This window comes from Homo sapiens, chromosome 2 (genome assembly GCF_000001405.40).
Source record: "Homo sapiens chromosome 2, GRCh38.p14 Primary Assembly".
NCBI classification, from domain to species: Eukaryota; Metazoa; Chordata; class Mammalia; order Primates; family Hominidae; genus Homo; species Homo sapiens.
This window is the reverse complement of record NC_000002.12, coordinates 211096019-211110211: the sequence shown is the minus strand read 5'-3', so window position 1 is coordinate 211110211 and position 14193 is coordinate 211096019. Positions and strand designations below refer to the sequence as shown.

Genomic DNA, 14193 nt, shown 5'->3' with positions numbered 1-14193 from the left:
TGTAGACCATGGAAATTGCATGTGTGCAGAAGCTATTTTTTTTTTTTTTTTTTGAGATGGAGTCTTGCTCTGTCACCCAGGCTAGACTGCAGTGGCATGATCTCTGCTCACTGCAACCTCTGCCTCCTGGGTTCAAGCAATTCTCGTGCCTCAGCCTCCCGAGTAGGTGGGATTACAGGTGCCCGCCACCCCACCCGGCTAATTTTTGTATTTTTCATAGAGAAAGGGTTTCACCATGTTGACCAGGATGGTCTCGAACTCCTGACCTTGTGATCCACCCGCCTCGGCCTCCCAAAGTGCTAGGATTACAGGCGTGAGCCACCATGCCCGACCACTCTCTTTAAATCAACTCTACAAGTCTATATTACTTTTTTCCTACATAACTGATGAAAGGAGACCACACACATAACATAGCTTTGGCTCTTAGTCCTCCACTCTCTGCTTGCCTGACTTCCAAATTGTCTCATATTTTATCTCAGGTAATATTAAATATTACTGCTGAACTTTATGTGCTTTTATTTGAGGCATTTGTCTTACTTTTCCTTGACATGGTTCTCTCACCACTTGTAAGTAATGCAAATTGAGTATATTCTTGTATTTTTGATAAAGGAAGAAAAAGTAACGGGTAGATAAGATTATTGCTTACCAAATTAAAGAATATTATTTCATTGATAGAGTCTTAATAGTGTCTGGAGGTAGGGAGGGAACAAAGACAAAATATGGGATTTTGGATGTCTGGCTTAATGTAGTTCATTCATTGTGAAAGCCTGTTTGTACTGAAGAAAAAAAATGACATAATAATATAGGATTGTGGACAGAGTGATGCCAGGGTTCCCTGTCTTGAAAAGTAAATAGCCATTTGATGAGCCTGGTTGAGCTAGCTAAGGTCCTGAGTCCTTTCATGAAAGCTGGCTGAGTAGTCTAATGCTCAGAAAAACGGACTTTCATAAAGGTCTTAAACAACTAATGTAAGTTATTTGAAATTTCATCTTCCTGGACAAGACAATCTTAGAATGATCAAGTCAAGTTGTAGATGGTTAGATGACTGATTAGATTATTTCTCTTCTTACTTACAGAGGTCAGGAAGAATCTATCTCCAAACTTCAGAGACAAAAGTTGAAAATAGTTAAAAGCTTGGGTCAGAGATATTACATAAAGTTTATTCCCTTTGGAATTTTTGGATGAGCCCAGAAAGGGTTTAAATTTAACTTAGTACCAAAAACAACAGCAGCAAATATCACAATATCAAGAGTGAAAAGAAAAAGCCATTAAGCCATGAAACCTCTTCAAAGGCATCATTTGTTCACTGAGCACTCAAGGCTATGTAGCATTATTTGTCACTGATTCTGCAGACAAGGAAAAGATAACAAAATGTTTTCTGAGAAGGCAGTTTGTTCCAAGGTAAGATTGAGTTAAATAACCAACATTGTTCTTGGCCAAAACGCCAAAAGGTTTGTGTTCCTCTTCTCTGTAATTGAACTTGTACTGAGCACACAAAGATTAAGAAAAGACTTTGGAAACAAACACACATTTTAAATAAAATTTATCTTAAAAAAACTATTTTGAGAATCCCAATTCATTAAGAGAAGCCTCATTATAAATATAATCAATGATAATATAGACTTCATTGAACACGGCTTCTTTCCTAATATATTTAATTATTGAAACTATTAAAAGTATGTTATGGTAATAAAGTCTAATTGCAATATCATTATATAAAATAATTCTAAGTATAATATTATAGTAAGTTTACATAGTTCTATTGTTACTACTGAGATCCTTCAAGATACATATTGAAAGAAACAATGGAGTGTCTACATTCTGCTTAATTTTTTTTTTCTTTTTTTAAATGGGGGTGTTCAAACTGAGAAGAAATGCTACAACGAGAAAGAGAAGGAATTATAGTCTGGTGGAAGAAGAAAATAATGAGAGGTATACTACTATTGGCTGACAGTAGGAATCTTGAGAGAGTGGGGATGGTAGGAGAAGAGAATAGAAAGGTTAAAGAGGTTGTAGGCAGCCTACAGAATGTTCTCAAATGATCTCCAACTCCTGGTATTGACACACTTGTGTAATCTCCCTCCCTTGAAAGTGGGTTCATTTAGTGACTCACTTCTAACAGACTACAATAAGTGATGGGACATCACTTCCAAGATTAAGTTATGGAAAGACTGTGGCTTTCATTTTGAGGGCCTCTCTCTGTCTCCTCTTGGACTTAGGGGATCCAGTTGTATGCTGTAAATAGGCCTATGAAGAGACTTACGTGGCACAGTAATGATGTATCTGGACAGTGGTTAGGGAGAACTTGCCAACAACCACATGACTGAGCTTGGAAGCAGATCCTTCTTGATATAGTTTGAATATTTGTCCCTGCCCATATCTTACGTAGAATTGTAATCCCCAGTGCTGGAGGTGGGGTCTAGTGTAAGGTGTTTGAGTTATGGGGGTAGAACCCTCCATGGCTTGGGACTGTCTTTGCAATAGTAAATTCTCTCAAGATCTGGTTATTTAAAAGTTTGTGGCACCTGCCCGCTACTTTCTTGCTCCTGATTTTGCCATGTGACCTGCCTGTTCCCACTTCACCTTCTGTCATGACTGAAAGCTCCCTGAGGCTTCACTAGAAGTCGAGCAGATGCCAGCGCCATACTTCCTGTACAGCCTGCAGAACCATAAGCTAATTAAACCTTTTTTTTTTAATAAATTACCCAGTCTCAGGTATTTCTTTATAGCAATGCAAGAACAGCCTAACACACTTCCCTAGTTGAGCACTGAGATTACTCTATCTCAGTCAACATCTTTATTCTAGCCTTATGAGAGACCATAAAACAAAGGCATCACACTAAGCCGTATCCAGATTCCTGACTCATAAAAACTACAAGAAAATAGAAGTTAGTTATTTAATAGGGTTTTGGAGTAATTTGTTACACAGCAATAAATAATTAATGCATAAGTATTTGGTTGAGCATATCAATGTAGTATTTGATGTGAACTTTCTTTTCTACTTCCTGCAACTATCAAAATTTAAGTAAAATATCCATCTCTCATTATTTCAGGGAATGTAGTGAACACTTAATTGCTCTGCAAGAGTGAGAGTCTCAGGAGATCTGGGATACATGTTTCTAATTGGTTGTTATAAATCCCAAAGAGATCTTTTTAGGGACACAAAGAAGGACAAAGTAGGTAGGTAGCAACGTCGTTTTTAAAGGAGCTGGCAAGTAAGACGTGGTCTTATCTTGCATAAATCTACACCTGACCTTTTAAGTTCTAAAGTTTAATCACGCTTTACAGAGGGGCATTTACTCTTACTAAATAGAGCAAATCACTAGGACATCGGTGATTGTTTTTTTTAAACTTATCTCTCAAGCTTGTAAGTAATGCTCATAGAATGTCATAAACCTAAAGGGAAAGATGACTGGCATCCTGAATTTTCAGAATACAGTAACTGAATTTTATATTGGGTAAATAAATTATAAGCATGTATTTAGAGAAGAATACAGAAAGTTTTGCTATCATTTTGAAAATAATTTATAAACTTTGAATTTTGTTTAAAAAATTCTCACAATATAGAACTGTATGAGAGAAAAAGGTAAAAAAAGGAAACCACCACCCATTCCCTAGGGGTAACTAGTGGACACTAAAGACTGTATCCTAAACACATTCTACGCCAAAGACAGTGACTGCCATAAGGAAGGCACTCAATAAGTATTTGTTAAACTAGCACAAAATATATTTGCTGGATTTTAATTGAGAGTTTTAGTTTATATGTGAATATTATCTGAATTCTAACACCTATAGGAGCAGTAATTTCACATGCCTAGGAAAATTTCTGGAAAATCTTCAGGACATGCAATAAATGTTCCCCAATTCATTGCAGAGGAGCAAGAGAATCGCCTACTTTTTATTAGGAAGGGCTGTGCCATTGCCCCTTTCATTCCTTGGACAGAGGAGGGACCTGCTTTCCAACACCCACCACCTCACCTTCTATAGCTCCCAGCCTCCAACCTCATCTCAAGCCCAGAGAGCTCCAAGAAAATCTTAAGTGAAACAAGAGGTTTTTTTTTTTGCCAGAGGAGAACTTAGTCCTTGGTGAGCCTCCTGGCTGGATAGTTGCTAAGCTGCAGGCCATTGAATCAGAGCAGAAGTTTTCAGACTTCTTAGCGGAATTTGAACAATGTACCCTGGAACTTAGGGATCCCAGTGGGTGGACTCACATGGCTCACTTCGGAAAAGTCTGATGGAAAGAGACTAAATGGAGTTGCTTTGATAGCAAGAAGAGGGAAAGAAAGTTGTTGTGGGGAAGGCTGGGCTTTCAGAACATGGTAGAGACACTTTTCTCACAACATTATGGAAGAGAGCTGGGTTGGAGTCATCTTAAAGCACTAGCCTGTTAGAATGACTGAGTGACATTTTGTTTCCATTTTTTAGTTTACACTTTGTAAACCTAGGGTAGTTATTCTTCCCGCTCCCCCATTGCCATCAGGGAAGGGCATCTTCATTAAGCTGGTGTAGACTTTGTGCATTTGAGGCCCCTGGTACTGCAAGGACAGGTAGTGAAGATAGAGGGTCAAGTCTACATGCATAGAGCAGGCCACTGAGCAAGGCCACGTACAGGCCAGAGAAGCACATGGGGTGTGGTAGGAAGTAAGCAGTTTGTGGAAGGTGAGGCAGATGCTCTCAAACTGAGCATCTAACAGAGCCTTGCTAATGCTTCTCAGCTCCTGCCTCTCCTTCCTCTATGCAGCCACCACCTGCTGGGACTCTGCACCTGGGTGGGTCTGCATGAGCCCGGCAGGTGGGTGGGTGAATATCTGCAGCCTGGTCAGCAAGTGCAGGGACCACAGGGTGTTGATGATGCAGATCTCACACAGCCCAACATCTGCTGGGTCACAGTAGTGATGGTCTCCAAAGAGAGTAGAGAATGGAGAGAAGGGTGCCATTTCCTCTGGTGCAGGAAGTCTAGCATGATCTCCTGTCTGTCTACAGGTGGTGCCCTTTTCCAGGCAGGTGATGCGGTCCCTTATTGAATTTCCTGAAAGACTTGGGGTGGTCAGTGAAAAAGTTGGGCTTGTCCTCCTTGATGATAACCAAATTTGCAGAGCTGGTGCCAATGAGAGCCCACCACATGCCACACCCTTTTGTCCCTGAAGCTGAGAGCACTGCCATGATGAGGAACAGCTGTTTCATGGGGGCCACCAGGCGGCTCTGACAATTAATGTCTTTTTCTCTCTTAGGATATATTTCTTCAGGTTCTGTGAGATCCACCAGTACAGGAGGCTTTTGAGAGATAACCAAGGTGTATTTATTGGCTAAATTATTTTAGAAACATCCTTAATAATTCAGATAAAATAGTCAATGAATTCTCTTCATTTATTCTAGGGATCATTCTCAAGGCTTTATTCCTAAATAGTTCTGTGTCCAACCATTAGTTTAGGAAGGCTTCTAGTTGTCTTATGCCTACTATATGATTGACAGACACCTACTTCTTGAATGTTATTTTGTCTGCCATGAATACACCTTTTTAGGAAGGTGCTTTTAGGAATACTTAAAAGTTCAGAGAGCTGGACCATCATTGAACTTTCAGAGAACCTTGTAAGAACTATTTTGTGTTGCTTGCTTCTGAATATTTGCTTAATAAATATCTGTGTGCAGTAGAATTTTTCTGTGATTTATTTTCAATAACATCTGACAGCAAGGGTACAGTAAAATAGAGGTAGGTTTAGCAGAGCAGGATAGAGCAGAGATAGTTCTCACATTTCTTTGGGGGATGCACCCATTGTTTACCAAAAATAACTTAAATATTGTGTATGACCACACTGGCTTGTTTAACACTCCCTAATATGATGTCCTGCCAGGAAGAAGTCAACCAGAAGAGAGAGGCTGCAGGGGTGTCAGAGCAGAGGCTAAAGTCGGGGGTTACACAGGCCAACTAGTGAGTGCTTATGTCAAAGAACAGTGTTATATGATTCACAACGGGTAAGTCTTTGAAGAAGCCACATGATCATTTTATGAGGAAAAGAGCCAGCATTTGGACGTACGCCAGCATTTGGAACACTGATACCAAAGTACAACAGAATCAGCCATGGTGATTTTGTTAATTTCTTTCTATTCCTTGCCCATGCTGGAGGAGCCAAAGCAGCAGCTAGCTGTGGAGCAGAGAGAGAGAAAACAATAGAAAAGGCAGAACATGCCTCCCTGAGCAGCTGAGTACTGAGGAACAGCAGCAACTTTTAATTTGGTGTGAGATGAAAGTTCTGACTTGGATCACACTGAATATTTTAACACCCCCAAATCAGACTATTCTGATACTTCAGTAGTATAGTAGCATTGACCAAAATAATTTTTTCATGATTGAGCTCTGTCAAGTTCAACTAAGTCATTAAACTACACGTAGATACACACTAAAAGAATTTATTATAAATGCTATATCATCATGAGCTTTGTTCACCAAAAATATCTTGGAGATATTTCAATGTCAAACATTGTAGGATTTACCATTTTCTCTCCAACAGCTTTGTAGTACTCCATACTACACACACCATACTCAGCAAACCATATTTTATTTGACCAATAATTACTCATTAGCCAAGTTTATTCAATGTTTTACTATTGCACACAATGCTTCAATAAACTTTGTGTATTAATTCAACATAATATTATGTTCAACTATAGGGAATATTAGTAAAGGTCTATTTCTTGTGAACAAGAGTTTGTTATCTGATATTGAAATCATCATTATATACTCATGTCATTATCCTGGAATAGTTTATATAAACTTAATGTCTCCAATTTTTCTTTCTCATTCTCTCTTAAAACCACTCCAATCAGATTTTCAATCAAACTATTCCACCTAAAGTGTTATCATGAATATCTTCCACATTGCAAAATCTAATAGCCAGTTCCTCATTTTTCTTGCTTATCAGAAGCATTTGACACAGTTGACTCTTCTCTCTTCCTTGAAATATTTTCTTCATTTGGCTTCTGGGACACTAAACTCCCTGGGCTTTATTCACATCCTTCTTGCCTTTTCTTATCAATCTCCTCTTTATGTCTACTGCCTCTCAGTGTTTTAGTGTTTCGAGATGCAATACTTGGACCTACTCTTTTTCTACCTACTCTTATTCTCTTAGTGACTTCATCCTGTATCATAGCTTTAACATAACCTACTTTCTATATATTGATGATTCCCAAATTTGTAGCACCAGCAGAGATATTTTCCTTTGAATCCAAACATATATTTCATCTCCATTCAACTTCCACTCAATCCATTTGCATTTCTAATAGGGAATTCAATATTCCAGAATCAAACTTCTGACTTTTTTAGCTGCTATCTGTAGTCTCAATATAAGTCCAGTCATATGTCAAATGACATTTTGGTGAATGACAGACCACATATATGGAAGTGGTCCTGTAAGATTATAATACCATATTTTTACCATACCTTTTCTATGTTTAGATACACAAATACTTAGTGTTGTGTTGAAATTGCCCACAGTATTCAGCACAGTCATAAATATATTGAACAAAGGAAAATAATTTATTTCTTGCAAGTGCAATGTGCAAGGGTAATTTGTGATAAATTAACAAAAATAGCTGTGGCTTAAGGCAATGTTAATATCTTTTGTTTTCTTTTTTGAGGATAATTTTAGTCATGGTTATAAACTGTATGCTGCTGTATGCCTGAGATTGTCTAGTCTAAAAAATATTCATTGTATCATGACACTTCTAGTTGTTTGTATTGAAGAGATAGACATTACAAACAAAAATTAAAAAAAAAAAGAAAGAAAGAAAGCAAAACATGATACCTTGGGCTCTTAAACAAAAAGAAATTAAACTTTGATGAAGAAACAGGTGGAAGAGAACCTTGCAAAAAATACTTGTGGGAAGAAGCATAGTTGAAGATGTGCAGCAACTAAATTTATGGCAGTCACATCATAGAATCTAGTATCTTCATTCCAGGTTTACTCGACCTTGCTTCTCAGCAAGTTAATGATAGAATGCTATTGTTGTATTTTAGCGCTAACTGGCTTTTTTTGTTACGAATTACAGTAATCCTCCCATATTTTCAGGAAATACATTCTAAGACCTCCAGTGGGTACTTGAAACCACAGATAGTCCTAAGCCCTGTATATACTTTTTTCCTATACATACATATAATAAACTTTAATTTATAAATTATGAACAGCAACAGATAAATGGCAATAATAATAAAATAGTAGAACAATATACCATAATCAAATAGGACTCAATATGTGTGCTGGAGTAGACCTGATTGACTTTTAATAAATAAAAAGTTGGTTCATTTTTGAAATGGGTAATACATGCACACAGTACACAATTCAAATATGGTAAGTGATATTCAGTGTAAAAACATTTCCTCTCCCATCCAGTCTCCCAGTCAGTCCCTTACCTATGCAGGGAAGTAAAACAGTTCCTTATGTAAATACAGAGATATTCTATGTACAAGCAAATGTATATAAGTGTGTGTATAATCATGTAATCCAGAATATATGTTGCCACTGACTATGCAAACAATTTTACTTATTTTTCTTCATTATATACCTAGAATTAGAGTAGCTGGGTCATAATGTAGATATATGTTTAATGTTTTTAGCAACTGCCCAATGATATTCTAAAGTAGTTGTAACATTTTATTTTTCCACCATTTGTGGTATAAGAGTTTCAATTCTTCCACATCTTCATCAACACTTGGTATGGTCAATCTTTTTAATTTTACCCATTTTCACAGGTGTATAGTGGTACCTCATTGTAATTTTAGTTTTGCATTTTCCTAATAGCACTGCACATCTATTAATATGCTCATTTGCTATCCAAACATCTTTGAGCCATTTTGATGGGTGTTTAGTAGTATATTATGCTTTTAATTAATATATTCCTGATTAATTATATTAAGCGCATTTTCATATGTTTATTGTCCATTGGGATATTCTCTTTTGGCCATTTTTGGTCCTTTTTCGTATTGTAAGTTTAATATATATTACATGTGCAGTTCTTTGTCTATTATGTATTTTCCCCAGTCTGATGCTTACATTTTTACTTTCTTAATGGTATCTTTTGATGATAAAATGTACAAGTTGGGTAAATTACAATTTACCAGGTTATTTTTTCTTTTCGTAGCTAGGGATTTTGTTGCTTTGTATAAGAAATCTTTGTCAATCTAATTCCATGAAGATATTCTTTTATGTTTTATGGGAAAATTATACTTTTAACTACTACAGTTAAGTCAACTTAATTTCCCTGTGTAATGTAAAGGAGCATATAGGGTTTATTTATTTATTTATAATTTTTTATGAATATCCCATGGCTCCAATACCATTTATTTTGAAGATATTTATTTTCCCTTTGAAGTGCATTGGTGCTTCTGGTGTAAATCAAGAGGTTGTGTATGTGAGGTCCATTTCTGCACTCTCTTCTGTTCCTTTCATATATCTTTTCCCCTTACAAAAATATAAGACATTTGTTATAAGAGGTTAGGTTGTAGCCTCTCTGTGTCTTTTATCTTCTCATATAACTTTTGGAATTGTCTTAAATACTTTAACAAAAAATCTGCTGGGATTACATGGACTTTATTTGAGGAAAATTTACATCTATGATATGGCTGGGCTTTGTGACTCCACCCAAATCTCATCTCAAATTGTGATCCTCATGTGTCAAGGGAGAAAGGTGACTGGAATAGGGGCAGTTTCCCTCATGCTGTTCTCATGATAGGGAGTGAGTTCTCACGAGATCTGATGGTTTTATAAGGTGCTCTTCCCCCTTAGTTTTCTCTTCTCTCACCTACCGCCATGTAAGACATGCCTGCTTCCCCTTATTCCATGATTTTAAGTTTCCTTAGGCCTCCCCAGCCATATAACACTGTGAGTTATTTAAACCTCTTTTCTTTATAAATTACCCAGTCTCGGGTATTTCTTAATGGCAGTATGAGAACAGACTAATACAATCTAGCAGTTTAGAGTCTTTTATTCTATGAACATGGCATATTTTCCTATTTATTTAGATCTTTGATTTATTTCAGCAATGTTCATTTTGTCTATAGTTTGTGGAAAATTCTTTCATATAGTTTATTAATTTTATTCTTAGATATTTTATGGTTTCAGTGAAATTATAAATAGTATTTAAAAATCTTGTATTGTATACTTGTTTGTTGCTAGTTTATAAAAATACAGCTCATCTCGTATCCTGTGACCTGGCTGAATTCACTTATTAGTTCTTGTAGTTTGTAAATTTCTTTGTATTTTTTAAATTCACAATCATGTTGTCAGTGTATAATGGCAGTTATACTTCATCTTTTTACTCCCTCCACTTTAACAATGGCCAGAGTAACCATCTATCTGCTCCACAGCCAACATAGACTAATTCTCCAGAAGGTAATTGTTATGGAGTATAACCCTGAACTCATTTCTCAGCAATACTCTACAAAAATGATGGTTTTGGAAGGGTACTTGAATGTTAGTAGCCTGCCCATTCCTCTAAATACAGGCATACCTCAGAGATATTGGAAGTTCAGTTCCAGGCCACTGCAATAAAGCAAATATCTCAATAGAGTGAGTCACACAAATTTTTTGGGTTGTTTATGATAGAGGACCTGTGTTCTCTAACAGTCAAGGCAATCCTAAGCAAAAAGAACAAAGCTAGATGCATCACATTACCCAAATTCAAATTACACTCTAAGGCTGCAGTAACCAAAAAAGCATGGTACTGGTACAAAAACAGCCTCATACACCAATGACACAGAATAGAGAGACCAGAAATAGTGCTGTACATCTACAACAATCTGATCTTCAACAAACCTGATAAAAATAAGCAAATGGGAGAGGAACAATTTAATAAATTGTCCTGGGATAACTGGCTAGCAATATGCAGAAGACTGAAACTGGACTCCTACCTTACATCATATACAGAAATTAACTCAAGATGGATTAAAGAGTTACATGTAAAACCTGAAACTACAAAAACCCTGGAAGAAAACCCAGGAAATACCATTCCGGACGTAGGCCCTGGCAAAGATTTCATGACAAAGATGCCAAAAGCAATTACAACAAAAACATAAATGGACAAATGGGACCTAATTACACTAAAGAGTTTCTGCACAGCAAAAGAAACTATCAACAGAGTAAATAGACAACCTAGAGAATGGGAGAAAATATTTGCAAAGTATGGATCTGACAAAGGTCTAATATCAAGACTCTATAAGAAACAAACAAATCAACAAACATGAAACAAACAACCCCATCAAAAAGTGGGCAAAGGGCTCGAAAAGACACTTTTCCAAAGAAGACATGCATGTGGCCAATAATCATATGAAAAAATGCTCAAGGTCACTAATCATTAGAGAAATATAAATCAAAACCACAATGAGATACCATCTCACACTAGTCAGAATGGATATTATTAAAAAATAAAAAAATAACAGATGCTAGTGAGGTTTCAGAGAAAAGGGAACGTTTATACACTGCTAGTGGGAATTTTGTTCAGTCATTGTGGAAAGCAGTATGGTGATTTCTCAAATAACTCAAATCAGAAATACAATTCAACCCAGCAATCCCATTATTGGACATATATTCAAAGGAATATAAATCATTCTACCATAAAGACACATGCATGCATATGTTCATTGCAGGACTACTCAAAATAGCAAAAACATGGATTCAACCTGAATGCCATCAATGGTAGACTGGATCAAAAAATGTGGTACATACACACCATGGAATACTACACAGCTATAATAAAAAACGAGATCATATCCTTTGCAGCAACATGGATGGAGCTGGAGGCCGTTAACCTAAGCGAACTAACACAAGAAAAGGAAACCACGTACTGCATTTTCTCACTTATAAATGGGAGTTAAACATTGAATACATATGGACACAAAGAAGGGAACAACAGACACTGGGGCTTACTTGTGGGTGGAGGGAGGGAGGGAGGAGGATGAGGATTGAAAAACTACCCATCAGGTAGTATACTTATCACCCAGGTGACGAAATAATATGTACACCAAATTTCCATGACATGAAATTTACCTATATAATAAACCTGCAAATATACCCCTGAACCTAAAAGTTCAAATAAAGTAAAAAGTTATGTTTACATTATACTGTAGTATATGAAGTGTGCAATAGCATTAAATCTGTAAAAACCAGTACATACATTAATTTAAATATGGTAACAGTCATCCGAGCCTTCAGTTATTCATAACGGTTTTGCTTAAGGGTCCTACCTTCAATGGTTGGCTGCTCACTGACCAGGGTGGTGGTTGCTAAAGGTTGGAGTGGCTGTGGCAATTTCTGAAAATAAGAAAACAATGAAGTTTAGTGAATCAATTGACTCCTCTTTTCACAAAAGATTTCTCTATAGCATGCAATGTTGTTTGATAGCATTTTACTGACAGTAGAATTTCTTTCCAAACTGAAGTCACTCCTCTCAAACCCTTGTGCTTCTGTGTCAACTAAGTTTATGCAACACTTTAAAATCTTTTGTTGTTGGTTGGGAGTGGTGGCTCATGCCTGTAATCCCAGCACTTTGAAAAGCCAAGGTGGGTGGATCACTTGAGGTCAGGAGTTCGAAACCAGCCTGGCCAATATGGTGAAACCCCGTCTCTAGTAAAAATACAAAAATTAGCCATGCATAGTGGCAGACACCTGTAATCCCAGATACTAGGGAGGCCGAGGCAGGAGAATTGCTTGAACCTGGGAGGCGGAGGTTGCAGTGAGCCAAGATCACACCACCACACTCCAGTCTGGGCAACAGGGTGAGGCTCCATCTCAAAAAAAAAAAAAAATTAAAATCTTTTGTTGTTATTTCAACAATGTGATGTTCACAGCATCTTCCCTACAAAAGTTTCTATCTCAACAAATAAACCATTTATTTTTTGCTCATCAATAAGAAGCAACTCATTTATTCAAGTTTTATCACGAGATTGCAGCAAGTTAGTCACATCATCAGGCTCCATCTCTAACTCTAGTTCTCTTACTGTTTCTACCACTTCTGCAGTCTGAAGTCTTGACCCCATCAAAAAGTTACTCATGAGGGTTGAAATCAACTTCTTTCAAACTCCTGTTAATGTTGATATTTTGACTTCATGATTCTTTCATGAATCATGAATGTTGTTAGTGGCACCTAGACTGGTGAATCTTTCGTGCAAGGTTTTTAATTTACTTTGCCCCAATCCATTAGAGGAATTACCTATGGCAGCTATAGCCTTATGAAATGCATTTCTTAAATAGTAAGACTTAAAGTTAAAAATTCTCCTTGATCCATGGGCTGCAGAACGGATATTGTGTTAACAGGCAGGAAAACAGCATTAATCTTCTTGTACATCTCCATCAGAAATCTTGAGTGACTAGGTGCATTGTCAATGAGAAGTAATATTTTTTCTGAGATGTAGGTCTCAACAGTAGGCTTAAAATATTCAGTAAACCATAGAATAAATGTATGTGATGTCAACCAGGTTTTGTTGTTCTACTTGTAGAGCACAGGGAGTGTAGATTTAGTATAATTCTGAAGGACTCTAGGATTTTCAAACTGTAAATGAGCATTGTCTTCAACTTAAAGGCACCAGCTGCATCAGCCCCTAAGAACAAAGTCAGCCTGTCTTTTGAAGCTTTGAAGCCAGGCATTGATTTCTCCCTTCTAGCTATCAAAGTTCCAGATGGCATCTCCTTCTGATAAAAGGCTGTTTTATCTAAATTGAAAATCTGTTTAGTGTGCCACGTTCATCAGTTATCTTAGCTAGATCTTCTGTAAAACTTGCTTCAGCTTCTATACCAGCTCTTGTAGCTTCTCCTTGCCCTTTTATGTTATGGAGACATCTTTCCTTAAACCCTGAACCAAGCTCTGCCAGCTGCAAACTTTTCTTCTGTAGCTTCTTCACTTATCTCATCTTTCATAGAATTGAAGAGTCTTGCTGTGGATTAGGTTTTGGCTTACGTAAATGTTGTGGCTGGTTTGATCTTTTATCCAGACCACTAAAACTATCTCCACATCAGCAAAAAGGCTGTTTTGTTTTCTTATCATTCATGTGTTCACTGGAGTAATACTTTTAATTTTCTTCAAGAGCTTTTCCTTTGGATTCACAATTTGGCTATTTGGCACAAGCAGGCTAGCTTTCAGCCTATCTTGGCTTTCAACATGTCTTCCTCACAAGACTAATTATTTCTAGCTTTTGATTTAAAATGA

General features: G+C 36.9%; 1 long non-coding RNA gene and 1 pseudogene across 1 annotated transcript in view; both read right to left on the bottom strand.

Annotated features, from left to right (window-relative positions):
- Nucleotides 4482-5285, bottom strand: LOC100420775 (5'-nucleotidase domain containing 2 pseudogene; annotated as a pseudogene).
- The window catches only part of LOC107985978 (uncharacterized), a 77592-nt gene continuing 75524 nt past the window's right edge, over nucleotides 12126-14193 (bottom strand). Inside the window, exon 4 of the long non-coding RNA XR_001739867.1 lies at nucleotides 12126-12302. This is a non-coding gene — a long non-coding RNA (uncharacterized LOC107985978). The remainder of the gene's footprint in view (nucleotides 12303-14193) is intronic.